At 52.9% G+C, this 26,896-nt stretch overlaps 1 protein-coding gene and 1 long non-coding RNA gene across 126 annotated transcripts in view; one reads left to right on the plus strand and one right to left on the minus strand.

Annotated features, from left to right (window-relative positions):
* Positions 1–26,896, minus strand: part of CELF4 (CUGBP Elav-like family member 4) — a 322,955-nt gene that overhangs the window by 26,723 nt on the left and 269,336 nt on the right. For 48 of the 125 annotated variants that reach the window (NR_148518.2, NR_148525.2, NR_148528.2 and 45 more), the window contains exons 4-8: positions 5,549–5,674; positions 5,239–5,318; positions 4,745–4,888; positions 3,450–3,597; positions 1,202–1,351 (exon numbers count right to left, since the gene is read on the minus strand). Coding sequence is in view for 114 of the 125 variants with exons in the window: in XM_047437652.1 (XP_047293608.1) it covers positions 1,202–1,351; positions 3,450–3,597; positions 4,745–4,888; positions 5,239–5,318; positions 5,549–5,674 (648 nt within the window). In the remaining 11 variants the exon portion in view is untranslated. Of the gene's footprint in view, positions 1–1,201; positions 1,352–3,449; positions 3,598–4,744; positions 4,889–5,238; positions 5,319–5,548; positions 5,678–26,896 lie in introns of all 125 variants that reach the window. The other 77 variants (NR_148523.2, NR_148521.2, NR_148527.2 and 74 more) reach the window with 3 other exon arrangements.
* On the plus strand, positions 4,894–6,834 carry LOC105372068 (uncharacterized). The gene is made up of 3 exons (NR_134588.1): positions 4,894–5,029; positions 6,079–6,162; positions 6,586–6,834. It is a non-coding gene; the product is annotated as an uncharacterized LOC105372068 (long non-coding RNA).

A 26,896-nucleotide genomic window follows, 5' to 3' on the forward strand; every position in this document is an offset into this window, starting at 1 on the left:
CTGCCGTGTGTGCCAATCTCCTTACCACCTCCACTCTTGCCAGGCAGGTCCCTCCAAAGGAGGGTGTTCCCTGTTCATCTTCACCTCTCCAATTCCTGCCCATCTGTTAATGCTCGATGGTAGTTTCCTCCTTGGGAAGGCTTTTTGGGGCTTCTTTAGCCTACAGAACTGTCCATTCATTGGGATCTTTAGCATTTCAAGTCTGAGAACACTCACTCATGATCAAACTTAATTCTGCCATATTGTCTCATCATTCTGCAGACTTAGATTGTGTTCCCAATGGACTCTGACCTCCCAGGCGATAGGTCCATGTCCTGCTCTACTTCTTGGGCCCCCCTTTCACAGCACAAACTGAGTACTTACTGATACTTACGGGGACTCTAACCTCATCCTCTGCCTCCAGGAAGCGGGGCGGCACTCCACATCGGGAGCACATTTCCCTTGTAGTTTACTAGAGGGCTTTGGGCCCAGCTTCCCTGCCCTGATAGCAGCCCATTCTCCAGACCAGGGAGAAGAGCTGCTTCAGGCCAACTGGACACTCTCACCCTGTGAGGACGGCTAAGTTTGAGGAAAAAAGGTAATCAGGAGCAGGCCTCTTGGATCTTTCCGTGTGCCAGACTATTTGAAAAAATAGTCTAGGAGCTGTCCAAGGTGCTGGGCTGTCTGTGGTGCTGACCTGTCCATGGTGCTGATCACGCTTTGCGTGCACCATGATCGCGCTTTTGTGTGCACCAAGGGATGGACTGGTCTGTACTAGACAGACTGCCAATCGTTATACCTCCCTCCACTCCTTCCCAAAGAGTCTTTTCCTACTTAACACTAACCCTGATTGTTCTTCTAGTTTCTATCCCCTTACTTCTTGTAGGTTAAATTCACACTCAATTATTTTGCACTTACTGGCCTCTCTACATGGTTGTACAACTGCACCCAGTCTCCTTTCTTCCCTAAGGGAGCACCTGGAATGGGGATCTGTCTCCCAGATCAGAATGACATATCCCCAAGGGCAGGATTTTGGTCTCATTTTTTCCATCACGGGCTCCCTGAAGGAAGATGGGAGGCTGGCCCTCTCTGATCACACTTGGGGTTTCATCAAGGAATGGACAGAGGGCAGGAGCCACATCTTGTTATAACAGCAAGGGCAGGGACAGCATGGATAAAGAATGTGCTGCATACGGAAATAAGTGCTGACAGATGTGCTTACCTGGGTAGGGGTGGATGCCATTGGCGAACACAGCTTCCGCAGCAGGTTGCCCATTGGCCTGTGGGGGGAGGCCGGTGAAGCCATTCACCCCAATGGGGGATGGGATGCTAGGCACGGCTGGTGCAGTGATGCCCGGAGGGGTGCTGCCACCTGGTTCCAGGCATACAGAAGGGTGGAGGAGGAGGGGAGGCAAGCAGAACAAAGGTGAGGAAGGCCCACCCATAAAGCTTCACTCAACTGTTTCCAAGGACCTGCGGATAGACTTGGACCTCACATACCAGTTCAATCTTATCTATGACCCATGCCTTGGCTTATCTCCCTATATGAAGTGACTTCACCTATCCCAATTGTATCTATCCTTCAAGGCAGACTCCAAATTCCACCTGCCCAAATAAGATTTCTCTGACCCTGATGGCTTGTCCTTAGACAGCACATAGACTACTCTCAGTGCCCTTGACTGTAACCACACTTGGTCTTCCTTCAGTCCTTTTTTTTTTTTTTTTTTTTTTTGTCTTGCTCTGTTGCCCAGGTTGCTGGAGTACAGTGGTGCAATCTCAGCTCACTGCAACCTCCACCTCCTGGGTTCAAACAATTCTCCTTCCTCAGCCTCCCAAGTAGCTGGGACTACCAGCATGCACCACCAGGCCCAGCTAATTTTTGTATTTTTTAGTAGGGTTGGGGTTTCGCCATGTTGGCCAAGCTGGTCTTGAACTCCTGACCTCAAGTGATCCACCCGCCTCGGCCTCCCAAAATGCTGGGATTACAGGCATGAGCCACCGTACCTGGCCTTCCTTAAGTCTTTTTCAGTGCTCTTACTCTCTTCAGCTAAGGCTGGATGAGCTGGTCTTTACTTGGTCATTGGGGGGCTGATATGCCTCTCCAGGAGGAAGTTTTTCTGCTCAGATGGAGTAGGTCTTAATTCTGGCCTTCTCTCGTACTGAGGCAGAGAGGTTATTACAGAGCCCAGACTCAGCTTTAGCTCATACACAAAGTAGACACCTTGGCCTCCTCCACTTGAAGCAATAGTAGTGGTCATGATGGTGAGAATAAAGTTGGGGTCAAATGACAATACCCTGTGTCCTCCCTATGCCAAGTGGGTGGAACCTGAGATGTGGATATTATGGTGATTGTACTGAAAGCCCAGAGGCTGGAAAGGGCCTTCCTCTCATGTAGGAAGCAGGGTCCCTCTGAGAATGTGGACCTGAGGTTGGCCACTGCCTGGGCTCATGTGTATCCCTTGAAGTTGGGGATCAGAGGTGAAGAGTAGTGTTCAAGTTGAGCCCAGAGATGGCACAGTCTTTTTGGCTTTCACCTGGGAAAGGAACAGCTCTTGGATGTTAGGAAAGTTGCTGCTGTGGCCTGGGCACAGAGAGCCAAGGAAGCTCAGTGAATAAGAGCCTGGGGTGCAGGACCAGCCCTTAGGACTAGACTAGCGTTTCTCAACTTTGACACTATTACCATCTGGGGCCAGATAGTTCCTTGTGGTGGCTGTCCTGTGCACTGTAGGATCATACAGCAATATCCCTGGCCTCTACCCACTAGATTTCAGTAGCAATCCCCACTCCCAGTTGTGACAATCAAAAATGTCTCCAGACATTGCCAGATGTCCTGGGGATTCGGGGGCATAACTGCAACAGCTGAGACTCACTGGACTGGACAATAGCCAAGATTCAATCAAAAACATGATTTGTGAGCTGGGTTCTTTCCAAACTCCTGTCCCTTGATAACTCTTGTGGTTCTCTCTAGCTTGTTGCATAGTTGTCTTAGAAAAAGCCAGTGAGTCTAGATTGGGTTAAAGGGAAATGAAAAAAAAAAAAAAAAAAAAAAGACGACACCCAAATGGGTTCCTTCTGTGCTTGGGCCAGGGGCTGAACAAGGCCACAGAATGGCCAAGGCTCTTCTCATCATAGACACCACAGGGAGATGTCTTCATGTCAATTTCTTTCCAGGTCTCTTGTTGGTAAACATCAAGATACATTGTTTCCTGATAAGGTTAAACAGCTTGAGAGAAATCCACCCCACCCTGAAATCACACGGTAGACTGCATGGGTCCCATATCTCATCTTCCCTTGGATCCCCATGGATTAGAACATTTTTGAGACAAACTGCCAGAAGGCAAGTCCTCTCGGGCCCAGACACTATGTGCTTTTGCCACAGAATGGTCCGCTGGTAGCTGAAATTAGGTCCCAGCCTGGGGCCAGCTGTTCTCCCACCGGGCCAGACCGCGTGTTGGCACCTGCCAGCTCACCTGAGGTTGGGGTCATAGGTGCGGCCGCCAGGCCATTCATGTTGAGGGCCGCCATCTGCTGCATCTGGGCGGCAGCGAAGGCAGCCATGGGGTTCAGGTAGCCGCCCTGCGCGACTGATGCCATCAGGGCCGCTTGCTGCTGCATCAGCTGGGGCAGAGGGAGTGGAAAAAATATCACGTGCTTCCAGGGGGCATCCCTCCCCGACAGGGGCCTCAGCTCCTGGAGACCAATCTCCCAGGCTCTGAGCCCCAGAAGCTCCCAACTACCACTCCAGAAAGCCCTGATGCCTCTCCCATTCTTGCCCTGTACCTCAACAGCTATTAGAGTCCACCACCCTGAGAGATGACTGTATTTAAAAGTAATGCTAGGGTCTTTGGAACTCCAAAGTTGTTGCTAGGGGCAGAGGAGGAGACTGGCTCTGTGGGTGCTAGTCAGCCCTGTGTACAGCCTGTCATTCGTGGGGAAGTGACATCCAAAGCACTAGAGACATGCTGGATGAGCCTCTGCAGAACTCACTTAGCACAGGTTTCTGTCCAGAATGGTTTTAATTTGGAGTCTGTTGGTAGAAGTGACAGGAGAATTATGAATAGAACCCCAGGCACCCCTAGTGTTGTCACAAAGGTGAGTGCGGACAGGGGAGGCTGCGGAATGTGGCCAAGGCGGACAGTACTGCAGAAGTGAGGTAAGCTTGCATTTTCAGACCCAGAACCGTGGCCTGCCTCAGTGCCACCCACATGGGAGCTGTGGTTACCAGTCTGCAGGCAGCTCCGGGAGAGGCTGACAGAGTGGGCCCCCATGTGGAAGAAAGAAGTAGGTGGGCCAGAGGCCTGAGGGGATATCAGAAGTGTGGGTGTGTAGGGCTTTAGGGCACCTCACAGGAGCCCTGCCAGGAGAGACCAGAAGGCCTGAAGTCACCGTTCCATGGAGTAGGGGTGGTTTGCAACCAATGACCTGAACCTCACCCTCTCATCTGTGCTTCCTGGGGTTCAACGTTGATCTGGCTGAGAGGAAAAGGCTCAGGGTAACCCACTTTTCTGTGGGGCCTCTCTCAGCTCTGCCCCTTAGAACTAAGACAGCAGCCCACCTCCTCCTGGCAGCCACCCCAACTGGGCCAGCCTTCTTTCAAACCCTTCTGAAGTTAAACCCCCCAGGTTCATGGGTTCATTCCCGGCCCCTCCTCACTCTGGAGGGAGAGGGCAAGGGATAGAGTAGTATTTTCGGTTTCATGTCCCGCTCTCTGAGGCTCCCAGGGGAGTGAGCTTGAGAACCGCTGCCCGTGCGCGCTGCCACTTACTGCCTGAGCGTAGGCGCCGTAGGCCCCGAAAGGGATGGCCATGGGGTTGAACATGCCCATCTGGCCAGCCATCTGCTGCATTCGCCGCATCGTGCGCTCCTTGTCGGTGTCGGCGAACTTGACCACCAGACTGGACGAGGCTCCCTGCGGCCGGGGCGGCGCGTGAGACCCACCTGCTCCAGAGCCTCCGCCCGCAGCTGTCGGTGCCTCTGGCCTGCGCCCACCCCGCCCGCTCCTCGGGGCGCTTTGGAGGAGGCGGCATCGGCGCTCGCCCAGGGGAATGAGGTGTGAACCCCACCGCGGGCATTTTCCACCTGGGTAACCTCAGGCCAGTTCCTTAACATCCCTGGGCTTCCGCGTCCTTGTCTGAGGCCCGGAATAAGGGTCATGCTTTCCTGTCTCTTGGGGAGACTGGACAGCCGGCGGGGCGTGGCGGGTGCTGGGGTCTCGGCCCGCCGCTGCCCTCGCCCCCGCCCCAAGGGGCCAGCACTCACCGGCATGGTCTGGCTGCCGTGTAGCGCGTTGATGGCGGCCTGCGCCTCGGCGTGGGAGGAGTACTTCACAAAGGCGCACCCTGCGAGGACGCGAGAGGCCGAGCTGGGACCCAGAAGCAGGGCCAGGGAGGGGCCGGGAGGAGAGGGCGCATCCCAGGTGAACGCAGACGGGTGAGGCAGAGATTGAGAAAGAGACACCAAGAAGCCCAGAGACAGACGGCGATGGCCCCGGAGACTCAGAGGAGCCCTCTGGTCTCCCTCCGCCTCGCCCCTCCCTCCGGGGCATCCCTCCCGGCCCCGCCCCGCGCACCCTTGCTGTTGCCGTCGGGCCCGCGCAGGATGGTGCACTCCTCGATGTTCCCAAAGGCCTCGAAAAGGCGGCGCACGTCGTCCTCGGACTGTTGCTTGTTGAGCATGCCCACGAAGAGTTTTCTATCTTCTAGAACAAAATTAGGAGATGCTTACCCGGGCCAGGGACCGGGCTGCGCGGGAGCAGGGCAAGGCCGGAGGGGGAGAGCGGCAGGGAAAGGGAGGAGCCGGGGAGGCGGGGCGGGGGCTCGGAGCCGGCGGGGGAGAGGTGCGGGGGAGGGGGACGGGGGCGGGGCTTAGTCGGAGCGGGAGGGGCGAGGGAGAGAAGTAGGTGGGGTAGGAGCGCACAGTCGCGGGACAGGTGCGGAGAGAGCTGTGGCAGGCAGGAGCTGGATCGCAGCGACTCGGCCTCCTCCCGCCTGCAGGGCAGGCTGCACCCTGAGGAGCAGAGACCCTGGGCTGACCCCTCACTAGAGCACACGGGCAGCCTGCGTTCCCCTCCTCCTTCGTCTCACATGCTATCCTCTACAGGCTCCAAAATGAATCACAACTGGCGGGTCTGACTTCGGGCCTTTGCAGATGCTGTTCCCCTGCCTGGAGCGCACTTATCACAAGGTCCAGTCCTCTTCTTCTAGGTCTCAGTTTGAGTATTGCCTCCTCACCCATGCCCCTTCTTATCCCTCCCTTACTCTGTCTCAGGCCCCCATCCCTGTGGCCGGAATGTCAAAGGACAATGACTACTTTGTGGGTTTCCGTATAGCTCTCCTTTCCCACCCATTCCCTGGGATGCTCACTGGGGAAAGAGACCAGGCCTCTCTGCTGAAGCAGCAGTGCCTGGAGCACAGGAGGCCCTCCATTTAGTGATGAGGTGAATAAAGAATGAATGACTGCCTGTCCTGTGCCATCCCAGGGCACACCTCCTTGGTATGTCACATATTTTTTCTTCCATCTGGATGCGCCCTCCTCGGTCTGGCTCTTCCTATTTCTTCACGCTGCAAAATTCGACCCTGGACACTTTGGGGGCGTCTGTTCCTGAAGATGCCTCAGCAGCCCCCACACACCTGGGATGAGTATCAGGTGCTTTGTTGATCCCATGCTGTGTGCTCAGGGAGACAAAGCATGCACGCATGGGGCTGTATCCACCTGCAGCAGCTGGTGAATGACTGCAGAAGGCAGCCCCAGCCCACATACTGCTACTTCAGTGTGACTGCCACTCCTCTCACTGAGAGTCCGGGGGCGTATTCCTTCCCCTTGACTGCTCTAACAAATAAAGAATGGCAGAAGTGATGCCAGGTGACTTCTGAGGTTGGGTCATAAAAGAGATCAGCTTCCACTTGCCTCTGTTTTGTGGGGTGGGGGGTTGTTAGCTCTGTGGAAGCCAGCCACCATGCTGTGAACCCCCAATTAGCCCATGCAGAAGAGTCCCCATGGAAAGGAACTGAGGCCCCAGCTGACAGCCAACATCGACCACCAGACACGTGAATGAATGAGTCCTCGGATAATTCCAGCTCCCAGCCTTTGAATTTTCCAGCTGAGGCCCAGACATCCTGGAGCAGAGACAGGCCTTCCATGCTGTGCCCTGTGAATTCCTGACCCATGGAATCCATGAGCAAAATAAATGGTTGTTTTACACCACTCAGTTTCGGGCTAAATTGGTATGCAGCCATAGGAACTGGAACAGAGTCCCAGGGGTGGCTGCACTCAGCAGGCACTCGCTAGATGTTTGTGGATGATTACATGATTGACACACAGCCAAAGCTGCAGAAATGCAGACCCCAAAACTGCAAATGGCCATGTGTTCATGGTTTCCTCTGAGCACATGGGCACTCAGGGACCCTGTGTCCTTCTGTATTCAAGGTGGTTGGTACCTTCTTTCCCAGAGAACCCCCACCTTGCCCAAATTGTCAGGAGAGTTCACTTAGAGCTGAGGGTCTGTCCCAGGTTCTGAAGCAAAGCAGAGGAGGCTTTCAGGCCCCTGCCCTCCACAAGCCACCTGCAGAGTCCTCCTGCCCTCTGCCCTGCTGGTACTCCTCAGTCCAGACGCACTCAGCACTGGGCCAGTTCTCAATGATGATGTGGTACCAGGTCCCAGCTCCTCGCATAACCTGTAGGGCACAGTTACTGGTCCCTGTTACCAGCTGTTCGTCAAAAAACACCAGCTGGCCCTCCAACAGGGTGGGCCTCAGCTAAAGCTCTGGACCCCAGAGCCCAGGCCCCACTACCTGCCTCAAGCTGCTCTTCTGGCTCCTTTGGCTTGGCAAGACTTTGGGGCACACCCCCACCCCATCTCCAGGGTTCTGCGTGCAGCCCTCCCCCACTTACTCCAGGCTCTGGGGCACAAGGAGAAGGAAGAGAGAGAGGGAGGGTGGAAGAGAAAAGCTGAAGTGGGATGGGAGGAGATAGAGTTCAGCGCAGAAAGGGAGTGGGGGAGAGAAAATGGCAGGAAACACAGACAAGAGAATCAGAGGCAAAGAGCTGGGAGAAGAGGGCTGGGGGGAAAGATGGCAGAGACAGAGGAAAGACTAGGGAGCCATTATGTTTGACTCCTGGAAGCAGCAACAGCAATTTACTGGAAGTGAAATGGGAGCTTTTCCTTCTTTTGTGGAGTAATTAAAACTCTTCTTTCCAGGCACAGCCCCCAGTGTTCTCCCTACCTCCCCCTCAACCTTTAGTGCCTTTTAAAGGCTCAATCGAATTGGGTTTCCAGAAAGACTTAGAAATGGAACCCCGCCCCTGCTAATCCCTGGCCCTCTTGCTAAAAATTCCACTTCCTCACTTGGACAGAAAAAGGAAAGGAAGGGAACGCACCTCCTCTGCCCAAGCTTGATTTACATGCGGAGACTGCAGCTCCTCGCCTTCGCCTCTCCTGACGTCTGAATGCATTCCTTTATTATTGCTATGACAGCTTTCTGATTGCATTAAAATTCATCCACATGTGCCTTTCTATCCAGCCACTTCCTTTTTTGCCGGTTTTGGGTTTTTTTTGTTTTTTCCTAATTCCTCGTTCCCCTCCCCTGAAATTTTCCTTTACTGTGCAGTTCTCAGTTAAGCGCCTCCTTCTAGAGGCCTTTCTAAACATATAAGCTGCCAGGCTCCCCCTCTTCCTCCCCATCTGGATTTCCCCAGGGAAACTATAGCCACCCTTACCTTTCTGGAGGGCTGCAAGATACCAAAGACACCCAGCTTCAGACTCACTTCCTCCAGGTAGTCATGGATTGACCACAACCAACTCAAATGTCTGCTTCTAGGATCCTCAAATGTGTTCAGTTTGCACCGTCCTCCAGTTGGGTATTGTGGCTTGTGCGAGTGATTCTAAGGCTTGTCTCTCAGACCAGGGGCTGGAGGGACTTTGAGTTTGCGAGTGGACTTCCTTGTGGGCCAGGCCCACTGACTCCCCCTCCCGCTCCCCTGCTCCACAACTGAGTTTTGGGATCTATGAAATGGGTATGATTAGATGCTCTTGTCATGGTGGTGGCTAGGGTCCCAGCGCCTGCCAAGAGGTAATTACCATGGCGATGGCCCCTACTTGGGTTTCTCCGTGCAGGAGGAAGAGGAAATGCAGTGCTGTTTTCCCTTCATTCGCCCTGCCTTGGTTTGGCCTGGAAGGTCACCCCTGCTGTGAGAGGGCAGAGGTCAAAGAGGGTGAGAGGAGAAGTCAGAGGAGCCACATCTTATGATGGGGAACACACTTGAAGCAACAGGTTGGACTAGATCCTGAGGCTGTGGCTGGCCAGCTGAGATGGACAACATCTCCCTGTCTCCCACCCACTCTGCCCACCTCCTTTCTGTCCGCTTTCCTGAGGCACTGTCTCAAGCTGCATCACATAACCAACGGTACCATTTGGCTGGTGTCTTGGGTCTGATGCCAGTTTCGCAAGAGTCTTGGAGAATGACTCTGTTTCCCCAGCCCGTGCCCACCCTCCTCCTCCATCCACACAGCCCCTGACTCCTGGTACAGGCAGAGAAGGCCCTGGCCACTGCCCAGCTGCCTAAGCTGGGACCCCTGGTAATGGAGAGGCTCTGGTGGTCCCCATGTTCTGGTGAGCCCTCAGCCCTGAGCCTGTTGCTTCCCATAGTCGGGGTATTGGGGAGCTGCCCCTCTGAAGACACATTCAGGCAGGTGCTGCTGGGCTGGGCCAAGGTGTTGAGGCAAGGAGTGGCCTCAGAGTTAGTGAGGGGATGGGCTGAAGAGTGAGTGAGAGGTTGCTGAGACCCCCTGGGGGCCCAGAGATGTGGTGAGCAACTGGAGGCTGGCATTAGGAGCCCAGAATTCTCTTGACAGAGCCCAGCTCAGGTCAGGGGCTCAGCCCTGGGAGTTGGAAAGTGAGCACAACAAAATCCGCTGACCTGAGCTGCGGGGACTGAGGCCTCACGGGTTCCTCCTGGTCAAGGGGCAGAGCAAGGGGAGCAAGCATGTTCTACAGTCTCTCAACAGCTGTTCACTGAGTACCTTCTCTGTGCCGGACTCTGTTCCAAGCATTGCTTCTACAGTGGTAAACAAGAGAGACGAAGCTGCTCGTTGGAACTGGCATCTGGGTGGAGAGACAGGCCATCCACAATACACAAGTCCCCAAACAAGACAAAGGCCAGCAGGGCTGGCACACTGTGGCCCCAAGAACTGCTGTCCCTGCACCTGGAAGAACAAGGCCACAGAGTGGCAGAGCTGGGCAGGACCCCGGATAACACCAAGGGTTTCATGCTTTTCCAGATAAGGAAGCTGGGGCAGAGAAGGAACCCCAGGATGCACAGGAGGTTGCCCATAGCTGGAGCCTAGACTCAACCCAGCCTCATGGGGTCCCTTGATTTCATGATCACAAAGCCCTTGCTGCTGCCATCTGCTCTTTTAAATCGTGTCTGTGCCTGCAGGTGTGAGGGAGCATCTGGGGTTCTGTGGAACAGGAGTGTGACTCCCCAGAGGGCTGGGCAACAGGACGTAGGTGCTCATCCCAGCCCCGCTTGGACCCAGAGAGGGCATCTTGGCTCTTTGTCCCCAGATGTCTAACCACCATAGGGGAGTAGGCAGAGTCTGTACTCACCACCCCACCTGCGCAGGAGCTGGGGCTGGGGGAAGATGATAAAACTGTGGACAGGAGAAGCTTCCAGTTCTGTGTCAGGTGAAGATGCTTACAGCCACCTCAGGAGGGGCTGGACAAAACCCCTGACTTTGCATCTCCCCTCTGGCTGCCCCTTCAGCAAACATTGATTGAGCACTCACTGTGTGCCTGGGAATTGTTAGAACAGAGGATCTGAGATGAGTTTTGGGAGCACTTCTGGGTTTTCTCTTTTAAGGGGTTGGGAAGAAAGAGTTGTGCATGGCTCTGAGATCCCTGGAGAGTCCAGAGTCTTTGGTCTATGGGCCCAGAGCCTCTTCATTGGAGCCCCTGATGAGAGAACAAAGGCCTGATAGATACATTCAGTAACTCTGGGATGAAGGCCAGAAGAGGCTAGAAGTGGGAGGAGAAACTAGCTACACCCTGATGGCTTCCAGGAGGAGGTGGGCTGGAGTTATGAAGTGCATGGGACATATGCAGGGACAACAAGCCCACACCAGAATTTGAGCAAAGGTGGAGAGGTGGAGGGACGCCTTCGGCTGCCCTTTTCACCTGCTCCAAGTGGTCCCTGCCTGTGGCAGCTTTGCAAGAAGGGGACGCTGAGGAAGCTTGACTTTGCTTCTTCACCTGCCTCCTGACTGCTTTCCTTTCCACCAACGCATACATCACCCATTCCTCTGACTTCAGGACTCTTTTTAATTTTCCTTAAACCCCAGTCTAACTCTGAGCTTTGGTTCACAACCTATAAAAAGCATTGGGTGACACCCGGGGAAGTGACAGGTGCTAACGGAAATACAATGGAATCTGGCTGCCAGAACCTCCTGCATCCTCCCATGGGTCCCTCCATGAGGGAGACAAAAACTCCTGAGCTCACTGTATTCAGGGTATCAGGGAAGGATGGGGCTCGGGCTGAAAGGATTTGTATTTTAAAAGGAAAGCCCAGGGCACCCTCAGTGGAACCTCAGGATTAGCACAAACCCCTAACGGGGATGTTTCAGGGCTGTGCCTTCTCTGCTGCCCCACCCTAGCCACGTGGGAAGCATCTTGCTGGCCGGGCAGGGTGAGTGGGCCTCTGAGTGGTGAGGAGGGAGGTAACAGCACTACCACTTGACTCGCCAAATGCCAGCATCCTGGCACTAATGCTCAAATTCCAGTTTAATTTTCACAATTTGATTCACTCATTACCATCAGCATTAAACAATATTTCTTGCTTAAGGATAGACGGTTGCAGGGGCACTGTGGGCGAGTGTTCAGATGGTTAATGCCTTTTATTACCGCAGTAGATTTTTACTATTCTCTTCCCTCCAGCTGCTGAAGGAAGGTTGGGGGCTACTGAGCTGGGGAGAATGCTGGGGTCAGGGACCAGGGTGGGGAGTACATGGCTTTGAGGTCTAGTGGCTGGTGGGGTGGGCAGAGAGGCTGCTAGGAGACCTGGAGGCTCAAAGGCAGCAGTTTGGGGGTGCAGAGAAAATGCCAGATATTCATGATGACAGAGCTGGAGGCCTCTTTCCTGCTTTGGAGTCTTTGGTCTTGGGGAGTGACAGGGACTGGGCAAGAGCCCAGAGACCAGAGCACCCCATGAATCTGCTCCTCAGCTGCCAGGCAGAGTCTGGAGCCCAGGGTCATCCCATGCAGTGGCCCCCCCAGGGTGCCTCCTGGATCCCAGGGTCTTCTACTCTCTCTGGGCCCGCAGGCAGTGACTCTGAGGGTGAAGGACATGCCCCCCTCTCTAACTTTACCTGTGGATCAGGGAGGACCTTCAGTAGCAAGGGACAGGGAGACACACCTGACTCAACAGGAGGGCCAGGCCAATGGTGTCCTCCAGATACTAACTGAGGCTGTTTGTCAAATCCTAGTTCCACCACATTTTGGCTGTGCAGGCTCAGGCAAGGCATATAACTCCCCAGGCAGGTCTGGAATTAAATGAGGTTTTTAGCACGTGCGTGGCACAGAGAAAAGGCTCAATAAGTGCCAGTTATTGTGAATGTTGTAACCATTACTACTGCTCACCCATGGGAACCCCAGCTGGCAGGAGGGTGATGCCCACTCCCACCCCTGGGAGTGTAGAGAGGACCACCAGGGACATCAAACTGAGCAAAGTTGTGCCAGCCCAGGTCAGTCAGAGAAGCCAACAGCATTTTGAGAACCACTGAGATGCTCTCCAGCCTCCACCAGGAGGTCTACATGGGTTGTGCAAAAACAGACATTTCCCCTAAAGGTACTGAGCATCCCTACATGGCATTTCCATGAATTCTCCCAATCCAGATCTGTCAAGCACCCATGGTTCCTAAGGGACAAGCAACTCATCTGAATCTACATCTGTGCAGTTTTCAAGGTTGCCTGACCACTCCACCCCAAAACCCAGAGGCTTCCTTTTCTTCCCCTTTGCCAGCCCTTGTAGAGCCACCTCACTGCCCCAGGGGGCAGCATACAGCAGCAGAACTGCCTTCTAAGTAGGGATGCAGTGGATAGGGACAGGGGTCTGCACTCCCATCCTTGGAGGCTGAGAACCCAGCAATTACCCCTGATCAGGTCGGCGCAGACAGTTTCCAGCACCACTGTCCACACTGGAGTCAAGAACCTGCAGCTATGTGACCAGGCTGGCCATCCTCCCAAGAGCCAGTTCCTTCACCTGAGACACAGGGTCACCACGGGCCAGGTCTCAGGATGGCTCTGAGCCTGAGCCAGTGGAGAGCTACACACTCCCCTTCCCTCCACTGCACTGTGCTAGAGCCAGCTGGGCTGGGAGCCGCCTCTGAGGATAAAAGCCTTCCTGCTTGGGAAGAAGGCTGGAGGAGACATCAAACCAGATCAAAGGCTGCTGGGATCAGGACGTGTTTGGGGGCCTGCAATGGGATGCAAATGAAGACCCTCACCTGCTCTTCCCCGCCCCCAAGGAGGCAGTGCTGGCCTTGATCTGCTTGGCTTCCTCCGGTCCTGGTGCTGTTTGATGTTGGGGTGGAAGAGGCAGGAGACTGGAGTCCCCGTCACTTGCACTCCTTCGCCAGCGCTGCCTTCCAGATACTTCAGGGTCTGCCATCCCTCCTCCTTCTACCCTGAGGTTGGAGCCACCCAGGCATGACGGTCACCTTCTCGGTGCTGACACCCACCAAGCCCCTGCTGTCTGCTCTCCACAAAACAGCAGAGGGGGGCATTAAAATCCAGGGCAGACCCTGTCTCTCCCCTGCTGAAACCCTGTGGTGGCTCCCCCTCACTCTGAGAACAAGCCAAGTCTGGTAATATCATGTAAGGGGCTACACAGGCACACACACTCCATGCCCTCTGACCTCTCTCCTCCATGAATGAGATGTCCATGTTCATTCATTCATGCAGCAAGGTCCAATTCCTAAATCGCCGGGCATGTAGTAGATGCTCAATAAATACATGTTGCCATGAATAAATGAATCCATTTGCTCAATGAGCATTGGGGGTGGGGCTGCTATAAAACTGGCATGGTGATGGGTGCAAGGGACAAGGAGCTGACCTTCAGGAATCCTCAGAAGGTAGGAAATGAGTGTTCCCTGGAGATGAGTAGGCACTGGACATACTGCGGGAACAGAGCATGGAGTGATGAGCCCTGTAGGTATGAGGGGCTGAGAAAGACCTAAAAGGCCTGCGCTGGACCCTGAATGATCCATGGGCAGGGTTTGCATTGTGGGAGAGGCAAGGGGTGGGCACTGCGGGCCAGGGAACAGCACGTGCAAAAGCAGGGAGTGTGAAAGGGTGTGTGGTAGGAGGAAGTGGCAACATACACACACACACACACCAATACATGCACCACGCATATACCCCTACATACATAGACACACACCCATCTCACATCCCAACACACAAACCCAACCACTCAACATGCACACACACCCAACACACACACACCAACACACAAAGACACATACCCCAACACATACATAGACATACACACTAACATACACACACCAATATGCACACCAGCACCCACCCCTCAACACAGATACACATACACACACAGATACACACACCCATACACTCCAACACATACACAAATACATATGTGCAGATACACACCAACATACACACACAGATGCACATACACATACACACAGATACACCAACACACACCTCAACATACAGACATAACACACACAGACACACACCCCAATGCACATACACACACACACACCCCTTCCTCCTCTCCCACCCACCCTGATCTAAGCACCTCCCCAAGGCAAAAGGCCTGGCCCCTCTCCTCTGACCTCTGGGAGCCTGGCCTGGGCCTCCAACCCTGGGCCCATTCTTCTCGCCTGCGCCTGGCCTCACAGTGCACCATGCCCTCCCTTGGCTCCCTCTGGTTCCTCATCCACGGCACCCATGGCTGCTCCTGTGGCCCAACACAACGTCACCCAGGCCCTACATGACAAGAGCCTGAAGGACCCAACTCCCACATCACAGAACCCCTGCCGCCCCAGCCAGCACTGCTCAGCCCAGTCAACGCCACCTCCCTCCCCCGAGCTTGAGATGCCCTGCCCATGGCTGCGGCTCTGACTCAGTCCTCCAGGTGGTGGTTGTAAGATCAACAAGAAGAATCACAATGGTTCTCATTTCGCCCCCAGTTACTATGATCCAGACACTGAGAGCAGCACTTTACAGGTATGGCAGGTATTTGATTATTTCCACTGTTCAGATGAAGAAACTGAGGCACAGAGAAGTTAAATATCTTTCCCAAGAAATCACACCCAGTCACTGGTGAAGGCAGGACTCAGCCCCAGGTGGTCTGGACCGAGCTGAGCTTTGAGGGTCTTCCTTTTCCCCCCAGGCAGAGGAGGGTACCGCCTGGAGTTCTCACTCCCTCTCTTCCCTCTCCACCCCTCCATCTCTGCACAGACCACTGGCAAAATGCCCAATAACCACATTGCTTTTTGAGAGCTAGGGCTTTGGTTGAGAGCCCCAAGGGGTGAGTGGGTGGGGCACCCATAGCCTGCTGCTAGCTGCAAGGGAGTGGGCTCATGGGATTCCCATTGCCTGGGGTCCCAGTTAGGCCTCACAGTCCCTCCCCAGTCCTGCCCATCCCTCTGATCACAGCCTGCCTGTCTTGAAGTCTCCTAGGTGCTCGAGGAGGTAAAGTTTTTCCTTTTGAGTCCTCTGGCCTTCCCCTCCCTTGAATGTGGGCTGAAAATGTCCTCTCTCGTCGTCACGCAGGAAGTCTGCCCTGCTGGCAGAATCTCCTCTAACTGCACTACCCCCTCCATGCCTGAAGCCCGTCCTTGGCCCCTGGGGCCTGTTCTGGGCAGAGGTGTGGCACCTGAGAAAGGGGTTTGTAGGGGTGCCTTTGAGGGGCTTGCAGTATGTTTGCAGAACCAGAGCCAGAACTTGGGTCTGTTCATTCCACCCTCTGGGGGGCCAGGAATGGCTCCTTCACTCTCATCTCTTGCGCTCTGAGAGGAGATGAGCTGGCCTAGGGACCCTGAATCAGGAGAAGCTGAGCCTTGGGATTCAGTACAGGTGAGGGGTCTGGGGACTGTCCCCACCTGCCCCCTTGCTGCCTCCCTCTCTGGCCTTCGGACCCTTGCCCTGTGAGTTTGAGTCAGGCCTTTCTGCAGGAGCCTGGGACACCACAGTGGCTCTATGTAGAAGTCACCTTTTGCTGGGGTGGTGGCGCGCAGCCATCTCTCCAGGTAACTGATTATACATTTGATCTGCTACATTATCCTTACCAGGCGCACGGCACACGATAGACGGCCCTGGAGTTCTGTGGGGACTTTTCGCAGCCGAACTCTGTTGTCTAATGGGGTTTCCGCTGGCGTCTGGCACACTCTCCTGCATTTCACCCATCGCAGGATAATTTATAACATAATGGGGCTTTTTTTTCCTTTACATCATGCGGGAGCATAAATTATGGCCAGTTTGTCCTCGGCTTTCAAGGAGACAGACAAAGCAGGGCTATTCCAGCATGGGCGGGGGGAGGTTTCTGCAGGGGAGGAGGAGGACAGGGTGGTCTACAGGGCAGGAGGGGCAAGAAGAGGAGAGACCAAGGAATGGTGTTAAAAGCTTCTCATTGACAGGGCAAAGAATCTACTCCAGGTGGCCACAAATGCTAGGGAAGAAATAAAAGACTCACTTAGAGCTGTTTGTCTCTATTAACCATGGAGCGGGGGCTCGTTAGCTGGGCGCAGAGCTGCACAGTGATAAGGCTGTGTGTGGGGCAGTGGTCGCTGCCTGCAGACCACCTGGCCACAGACTTTCCAACATTAGCCACAGGCTGACCCTTATGGGGCCTCAAATCCTCCCAGCTGTGACCCAAATTTCCACAGTCGCACAGAGAGGGTGAGTGGGCATGGGCCTCCTCGGTGCCTCCCGCCATCGCCAGAGACACAGTGAAAAACTCAGTGCTGGGGGCGGCCGTGCAAACCCCCTGCCCCTCTGACCCACAGCCCGTTTTTAATATTGACAGTGGGGCTTGGCTTTCTGTGGATGAACAGCAATAGAGAAGCTGCCTACCAGCCCACTGGCCATCTTCCCGGGGAGGTGCAAGGCCTCAGCATCCTCCTTACTTGTCTAACCCGGGAGGAGTCACACTGGAATGAAGAGAGACTGATCTGGCGGCTGCAGCCACCACGCCCATTCCCCACACCTGAACACTGTGCCGAGAACCTCTAGCGACCCTGGGTTGGGAGTGGGTCTTCAGAGGCCACCTGGCCCAGCCTCCTCCATTACCACCCAGTTGCAGGAATGATGCTTCCTGATCACCTGCAGAAGGCCTGCTGGCCTCCCCGCGAGACCCAGGAGGGAGCCCAGAAGAACGTTGTCTTATGTGCCTCCAGAGCCCAAGTCCTGCCCTGTAGCACCAGCGGCTGCCCCTGCGCCCTCAGGACAGCCCTTCAGGGATGAACAACAGGTGTCTTAGATCTCATGGGACAGAGGTCCTTAGCCCTGGCTGCCATGGAAATCACCTGGAGGCTTCGACAAGCCAGGTGACTCGGGCTGGCCCCCGAGATACGGATTTGAGGGATTGGTTGGGAGCCCAGATGTCAGTATTTCTGGTTTTGGTTATTTAAAGCTTCTCAGGTGATACCAACATGCAGGCAGGGCAGGGAAGGGATGCAATGGGATTGGTCTTCTCCAGGCTGCTCGTCTCTCCTCAGGCACTGCGTCCCTGGCCCTCCACCTGCCTGCTGGGATAGAGCCCTTCAGACTGCAAAATTCTGGGCCCTGTTGGTGCAGGGATGGCAGCACCCACCTTCTATGCCCTGACACATGCCTGAGCCTGGCCATCCTTCCCATTGCTCAGGAGTCACCCTGTAAAGCTGTTGAACTAATTTCGGGAGGCGGGGTGAGGGGACCTCTCTAGGTCAGCACGCGGCTTAGCCCCTGAGGGCTTTGCAAGCCCCCTCTTCTTCCTCCTCTCTCTTCCCCTGTGCCCCTTCCCCCTCCATCCACCAGCCAGCCCTGCTCTGAGTGGGGAATCCCAGGCCCCTGTTTCTCAGGCCTCTGGGTTCCTTTCTATTCCACTTTGTTCCAGCCACCATGGCCCTCCTGGATTCCCTGCTGCCCACCCCAAGGAACTCAGAGGGCCCATGCTTAAGTACACGGTGTATTAACTCATGACTGATAATGGACTGCAGATAGACATAGAGATGGATGGATGGTAGACATGATTAATAGATGCTAGATATCCAGATTAAATGTTAGATGATAGATAGATACACAGATGAAAGAAAAATGATTGCAGAAAGCAGATAGATTTATGATGGATGACACATAAATAGCAATAGGTAAATGTGGATGGATGGGTGGCCAGGATGCTTCTGAGGACTTCAGGTAATGAGGTCTAAATGCAAAGGTCAGAAAATCAGTCACAACCACCCACACCTGCTGGGGTGCTGACTCTCAAAATAACAAGGAATGCTCTTCTGTTCAAGACCTATCTTGAACCAGCTTCTCTTTCAACACAGGTCCCTGCATCTCTACATTTGCCAATGGGTTTGCAGTTAACATAGGTTTCAATAGGGCTGGTTTACTGTGGACACCTGAAGATTCTCTTTGACGTTTTCCTGAACCTACTGGCAGGCTGAAATGACCTCTCAAGCCTCCACTGCACCTAATGAGGTCCTCCCTTCCTGCGCGGAGGGATGTCTCCCTTATAGGTGCCTGCTCCTAAGGGAGCACTGCTCCTAAGCCCTGTGGTGAGACGGCAGGTGTTGGCCCACATGGTTTATGCAGAGCTCCATGCATTCATTCTCTTGGTCAAAGACCATGCCCTCAGAGAGGATGATGGCAGCACACACCATGGGCCAAGCACAGCTCAGACCACTTTAACCTTATGAAGTGGGCACCACTGTTCCCCATTCTACAGATGAGGAAACGAAGGCACAGAAAGGCTTGGCAACCAACTTGCTGGGGATCCCCAAGCTAATTCACAGCAGAGCCAGACTTTGAACCAGGTGGCCCAGCTCTCCAGCTCTCATCTAACACGCAGAAGGCATCCCCCTGCCCTGCTCACCAGAGGATGGTCATGAGGCCCTGCTGAGCTCAGGAGGGCAGGCGGCTCTGGGCACCTGGAAGGGCTGCACCATCTGCAAGCCTTGATTCTTTCTAATGACTAATGAGATTGTGAGGGGGAGAGTTTGCTTTCCTGAGAGAACCAACCATTTTGAAGGGTGGCAACATATTATCTGTTGGTATGTGACTGGCATTGCTAACAACAGAGGAGCCTGTTCTCTGTTGTTAGAGAATAGAGAACAGAAATATTGCCTCTTAAGGGTGGCAATATTTGGTTACCGTGAAATTCCTTTAACAGAGTGGCACAAGAGAATTTTCTGTCTCAGAAACCTGCACGCCAGCTCTGGGGCTGCCCTGGACCTCTCCTGCTATTCACCACTCAGTCCGGCAGTCAGTATTCAACAAACTATGCACAAGGGACTGTGTCAGGAGATGCAGGAAGTAGACTTGATCCTTCAAGAAAAGTGCTTCCAAATTAGGGCCTGAGCGGCCCAGCTGTGGAGGGCAGACCATGATGGGGGATCGTGGGGTGAGAAGGGATGGGGGCTGGCAGAGGGGGCAGTACACGGTGGAGCAGCAGGAAGAGTTTGCCATGCTGCAGTGTCCTCATGGATGAGGCCACAGGATACTGAGGTCAGGCTGCACTGCCTCTCTAGGGAAGGGTGGGGAGAAGGATGGAAACTTGGGGATGGGAGCTCAGAGGACAGAATGCAAAGAGCTTCGTTACTCAGCTCAAGTGCTCCAGAATTGTATTTTGAAAATCAAGACATAGTCCTCCCACCCACAAGTCTCCAGGGGATTCTGGGGATGACAAGCACTGTGGGGCTGCTCTGCCAGGAGCAGGTGGTCTGGGAGTGAAGGAAGCAGGTGAAGGCCCCCGCTTGCTAGCTAGTACGCCCCAGCTCGTCCCCCCACCTCCCTTCCCCCACAGCCAGACTCTGCTATCAGGGACACTGTCAGCTGCCCTTTGGATGTCCTGACAGTGGGCTCTGTGCCAGCTGGCCATCTCCACACATCCTGTCCACTTCTCACCACCATGTTCCAGTAGAATATGATGAGAGTACTGTTTGATAGATGAGTTAACTGAGGCTCAGACAAGCTAAGAAACTGGTGGAAGCTCCCCCAGGCAGTAAGTGGCGCAGGTGAGGCTGGACCGGGTATCTCTGGTGGCTGCACCGCCTTCTCTGTTGTGTGACATGGAGTATTACACAGCCCTGGAGTTTCATCTTTTGGGTTCTAAGCCTGCAGACTGGGCATTGCCCTCTTCAGGGAAGTTTTTGAAATGTGGTGGCTCTGGTCACCTCCACATGACTGATTTTGCCAGAAAGTGTCCTTTGTGATCACAAGGATCTGATAAGCTTTTAGGCCTCGAGTGCCTGAGAATGGAAGAGAAGTGGAGGAGGCAGCATGGAGGGGCATGGCTGGGAGAGGGCTTGATGCTGGGGAATTAAGGGCAGCCTGGTGTCTGGGAGGTGAGTGATGATGGTGCTGAGCTGGGGAGGCCAAAGAAGGTGGCTGGGCTGGAGGGAATGTTCCCTGCCAGCCCCAACTCTCCTTCCCTGTCCATGCACAGCAGCTGGATGGCCCAGGGCAGTGGAGCCCCCTGAACATGGGTCCCAGGCACCTCAAGCTTTGTCTGCTGGCTGCATCAGAAAGCTTCATCCACAGGTATATGTGACTATTTTTCAAATGCATCTAGATGATGTTGTGATTTTAAAAATACAAATCCATTTAAAAGCGTTGCTGAATTCAAGGTGGAGTTTTGTCATTTTGCATTCTCTCAAACAATGGATACTCAAAGTAAAACATCTGTCAAGGGGGGCACTGATGAATTTTTGATGTTAAAAATGGCTCCTTAACCTTGAGAAGTCTGGAAATGCTGATCCAAGAAGGGCAGCGGGAGCTTGAGCAGGAGAAAGTGCCGCAGCTGAATTCCAGGCCTAGCGCATCTCACCCACAAGAGCGCACATTACCTATCTAGAGGGAAGGATTGTGGTGGGAGGGAAGCAGGGACCACCCCAGACTTATAGTTAGTAAACTCACCTCAAACTACAACCTGAGCCCAGTTTCTGCCCTCCTCTGGGCCTAATCTTCAAATTTATCCTTTGATTCGACTAAGATAGTAATAACCAAGGGAGTGAAAATGATTGCCTGGAGGCCTAGACTGAGAGCTGTGTCTTCCCCTCTTCTCCTCCTCCTGTCTGTCTTTCTCCATCAGCCTTTTCAGCCTCCTCTACAACATGATCCATGACAATTTTCAGTTTTATTTTTATTTTTATTTTTTGAGATGGAGTTTTGCTTGCTCTTGTTGTCCAGGCTGAATACAATGGCATGATCTTGGCTCACCGCAACCTCCGCCTCCCGGGTTCAAGCAATTCTCCTGCCTCAGCCTCTTGAGTAGCTGGGATTACAGGCATGTGCCACGATGCCTGGCTAATTTTGTATTTTTAGTAGAGATGGGGTTTCTCCATGTTGGTCAGGCTGGTTTCGAACTCCTGACCTCAGGTGATCCGCCTGCCTCGGCCTCCCAAAGTGCTGGGATTACAGGCATGAGCCACCGTGCCTGGCAATTTTCAGTTATGAACATGAGTCGGCATTTCTGGTGATGTGAGGCTGGGAGCTGTGCATCTTCCCACTGCTGGGAGGCCCTAGTGTGATCCCTGCCTCACAACACAAGCTCAGGAAGCACTGTGAGAATGAATAGTGACTGTAACCCATGTACTCAAGAGGAGGGTTCATGTCAGAAAGCTCAAGGTTGGGCAGGAAGCCTGGACCTGCATATGCATCTCTTTCTACCCCGCACCCTGGTGTGGTCAGGGTCTGCCTTCAGCGAAGATAAAATGTGAAACTCACCTTGGATTTAACGGCTGGAGGCTTGCATTTGGTTTCCCACCAGCCCTGTGATTGGGGCAGGGGTTCAGCCTAGTCTCTCTCCTCAGCTACAGAATGGGATGATCAGGACTGCCGCAGGGCTGACCTGAGGGCCTGGGCATGAGGCCACGGGTTTTTAGAATCCTTTTGATTTGTAGAATCCTTTCAGCAGCTGCTCACAGGGTGGTTCCCTCTACTCATCAACCTCCTCTGTCCCACCACATTGGGGACATCCCTCTTAAGTCTCCAGGGTCCACAGCTGTCCCTTAGAACATCTGAGTTTGGCCAACTCTACTATACCCATAATCAGATTCAGCCTCTTTCTAACCCTCGTGGAACTGACCAGTTCCTTGTCCCAACACAGCAAGGCCTGTGTTCCCTGCTGTGGTCTGGATGTGTGTGCCCTCCCAAAATTCACACGCTGAAATTCTAAACCCCAAGGTGATGGTATTAAGAGGAGGAGCTTTTGTGGGGGTGATTGGATCATCAGGACAGAGCCCTGGTGAATGAGATTAGCACCCTTATAAAAAAAAAAAAGAGGCCTGAGGGAGTTTGTTCACCTCTTTTCCACCACGTGCAATTACAGCAAGATGTTCTCACCAGATATGGAATCTGCTGGCATCTTAATCTTGGACATTCTGGCCTCCAGAACTGTGAGAAATCGATTTATTGTTGATAAGCTACCTGGTTTATGGTATTTTTGTTATAGCAGCCCAAATGGACTACGACACTCCCACTGAACACCTTGTCAGTTCCAGGCACTAATGGTGGATACTGCATCAATTAGTTTTTCATTCCAGTACAGGTACATTTTAACAAGACTGTCCAAAGCCTTAATCCAAAGAAGTGGAGGATTGTGGTGACATTTGGGGGCAAGTGGGGGCAGATGTGAGATGGCTCAGGGCAAGGAGACCTTCCTGGGGCCCTTAAATCGCCCCACAGAAGTGCCCACTCATTCAGCCTTGGGAAGACTGTGGGTGGAGGGGGTGTCCCAGGAGAACTTCCTCCTGCCTGGCTTTTCTCCCTGACACCGGAAGTGACGCGGGCAGGCCAGGTACTTAGCACAGTCCCTGGAATGGAGGAAACTTGCTGCGGTTATTAGTGGTGCCTAATGATATTTGCATAGATTAACAGACTTTAATGCAATCAGAATGCCACAATCCCGAGAAAATAATGAAGAAATCCATTACAAAGTCATAAAGTAACTAAGTCAATACAGTAATAACTTGATCCTGTGTTAGTAATAATTTCATCTCCCGCTGCAAGGTGATTTTGCAATGTGCACCGTTTCTGGACACTTTTATAAATTTCACCTTTGTTTGATATAATTAATTAACAAAATAAAAAATACACTGCTGGTATTTTATACAGTAAATTAGTCATTAGTCTAAACTGGCAGGCTGTAATAAAACTTATTATGATGGATGTGCTGGGATTTTTAACTTCTCTTCAAGTGGCCTGTAACCCTCTCATAGGCAAAACTCAGGGCTGTCTGATGGCAGTGGTTCAGGTGGATAGAAGGACCAGCAGGACCCCACAAAAGGGGGTTGGGGTGAGAGAGGGGTGGAAGCCTAGATGTGGGCCCACTGGGCTTGTGGAAACCCCTTGGGGACCTGCATCCTCAGCCCAGGCTCCTTCGGGCACAGTCTTAGTTTCCCAGGGCTGCCATACCAAAATGCCACAAACTGGGTGGCTTAGAGCAACACGGATCTATTCTCTCACGGTTCTGGAGGCTGAAAGTCAGAAATCAAGGTTTGGACAGGGCCACATTATCTCTAAAGTCTCCAGTGGGGTTCTTTCCTTGCCCCTTCCTAGCTTCTGGTGTTTCCCAGCAATTCTTGGCTTTCTTTAGTTGTAGCTGCGTCACTCCAGTCTCTGATTCTATCCCTACGTGGTGCTCTCTCTGTATGTTCTGTGTCTGTGTCTAAATTTCTTTCCTCTTCTAAGGATGCCAATCATATTGGATTTAGGGCCAGTATGAATCCAGTATGACCTCATTTTAACTTGATTACATTTGCAAATACCCTATTTCCAAATAAGGCCATGTTCACAGGTTCTGGGTGGATGCAAATTTGGGGAGAAGACTACTTAACCCACTCCAGACACTGTAGGCTGTGAGATCACTGTCCTTATTCCTGCAGGAAGGAAGGGACAGGCCAAGTCATGCTGAGGTGCAATGACTTCCAGGTGAGTCGCCTAGCAGGGACTGGCTATTAGAAATCTATGGTATCCTAAGAGGTTATCTGATGGGCTAGAGGGGACTGTGAAGTCTTCGAAATGGTCAGCACCAATTCATGTCTATGGCTATTTCTCCTGGAGAATAGATTCAGAGCTTCCATCAGATTCTCAAAAGAGCCTGGCACCCCAAAGTGTGCTTATCTCTTTACCACATCAAACATATGGGGGTCAGGGAGGAAGGGATCACTAAAACCAACCAACTAGCAAACCAAATAGCCAACCACCTGACCCACCAACCACCTGACTGACAACTTCCAGATAAACAATTTCACAAAGTTTCCAGAAATCTTCCAATACCCCCCATCCCAAAAGGAGTGCAGATTCTGGGGCTTTAGAAGGGAAGCTGTTGAATATCTGTACTTCCACTGTGGCACGGGTGAGGGTGGGGGCAGGCTGGGGGACTCCCACGGTTCTGTGTCTAGAATGAGAACTTTGCTGGGGAGATGTCTTTGGATTTTGAATGTATTACCCTTCATCTCATCCTCCGGACCAGTTTCAGGTCATCAGCACATTTTAAAATCAGCTTCTATGTCTCCCACCTTTGAGAAGTTCTTGATAAAAATGTTCAACAGGAGGGTACCAGAGACAAGGGCCATGGCCATAGATGTCACCAGGAACCTCCCTTTCTGTCCAGCCAGCTCTGAGTTACTCTGGGCAACTTTGCCATCTGCCCCGAGTAGGTGACAAGATGCCAGCTTAGGCCCTGCTCCTATGCATGGGTCACCCACTTACCAACACAGACACCCAGCTTCCTTGCTCTGGCTCACCCTGGTGAACCACTGTGGTTCCTAAGTCACCATCATTTTCCCCCAAATGCTCTCAAGCCATCAGTTTGATGAATTTATTCTAGAACTTAGCCAAAATTGTCTTCAAGATCGCCAGCCTGCTAATTTTTAGAATCCAGCCTCTTCACCTTTTAAAAACTTGGACCTTTGTCCATTTCTTGTCTCCACAGTGTCTCAAGTGACCTGCAGCAGCTCTGTCAGTGGAATACCCGTTTCATTTGTCCACCTGAGGCCATGGCTCAATTTGCTCTGTCCTAGAAATACAACCTAATTTATGGGGCCAGATTTGATCTCCTTGACTTGTTTGGATATTAATTCTCTTTTTATGACATTTATCAACATTTCCCATCCTGAAGACCAGCCTCTTTGCTAGAGAAGATGGAAGAAATGCAGAAGGTAAACTTCTCTGTTTTCCGCTAGTTTATAGTCTGCTTTTCAAGTAGATAGAATTGATGGGTCTCGGGCAGGAAGACATGCAATGTGTTGTTTGTCTTTCTGGACCATGTAGGTGAACTGCAATTCTCTTTCTGTCTCTGGGGCTCTGACTTGAAAGCAGGGAGGAGGCATTTCCCCAAGCTGTGCCTCACCTTCCTCCAGGAGGGGGCGCCCTGAAAGCACCAGTCCCTGGGCCTCTCCTGGATGCTGGCTTGGCTTGTCCCAGATCCCTGCCCCTGCCCGAATGAATGAGGAGGGCTGCAAACGTCCCCTTTTCCTCTTATTGTTTTCCTCAAAGATGTCATCCAGTGGTCACTGGTGCCAAAGGCCTGGCTGATGCCTGAGAAGCCCAGGTTTGGCAGATCTTGAATCCAGATTGGGATGGTGTGGCTAACAAGCTGAAAGGATTATGGGTGGCAGGTAGATAAGGGGTTTGTTTTTGAAATGAGACATAAATTATCCTTGAATTCAGCAGCAGTAGATCTGTGTCAAGTGGTGATGAGTCTAAACATACTGGCCCAGGTCAGAGACCACTCCATGCCAAGAGGGCTCAGAGCATGCTGGAGGCAGGGAGGCATCTGGGAAGAAGACAACTTCTATTTTTGGAACTCTTGCAATGCACCAGTCATCAGAAATAATATTATTGTTATTGCTACTTTACAGAGGAGGAAATGGAGGCACATAAAGAGGTTAAGAAGTTCACCTACAATCAAACAGTTAGTAATGGGTAGAATATGATCTGTACTTCACATCCCCATTCGAAATCCTGGTGTGGGCATGGGGAGTCTCCAACATACAGCATCCGAAGGGAGGCACCCAGGTGAAACCTAGAGTTGATCTTTCCAGCATTGGCGGCGAGAGGAAGAGGAACTGCACTGGGGGTCAGGGCCTGGGTTCATCAGCAGGCTGTGTGACCTGTGCCCAATGGTGTCACTTGTGTGGGTCTTCGCTTTCTCTTGCAGATGTGGTAGTGTGAGATTGGTGCATCCCACTCAGCTGGAGAGGAGCTCTGTGAGGAGCTCTGAAGTCCTCGGCATGTGCAGAGACCCTCAGCCCTGTCCCCTTCCTCTCTGCTATCTCCTTCCTTTCTCCTTGTCCCCCACAAAAATCCTCATTCCAGTGACTTGGCACACCCATAGGCATCCCTGCCTCTTGGCTTGGCCATTCAACTATCTTTTTGGCTTGTTTGTTTCATATTTTATTTTGAGACAGGGTCTGGCCCTGTCACCCAGGCTGGAGTGCAGTGGCACTTTCATGGCTTACTGCAGCCTCTGCCTTCCAGGCTCAAGCCATCCTCCCACCTCAGCTTCCTAAGACTACAGGTGTTACAGAAAGACTATAGCCTCCTGAGACCACAGCTGGCATTACAGGTGCATGCCACCATGCCTGCCTAATTTTTGTACTTGTTGTAGAAACAGGGTTTTGCCATGTTGCCCCGGCTGACCTTGACCTCTTGGGCTCAAGCAATCCACCTGGCTTGGCCTACCAAAGCAC

This window comes from Homo sapiens, chromosome 18, assembly GCF_000001405.40.
Source record: "Homo sapiens chromosome 18, GRCh38.p14 Primary Assembly".
NCBI lineage: Eukaryota > Metazoa > Chordata > Mammalia > Primates > Hominidae > Homo > Homo sapiens.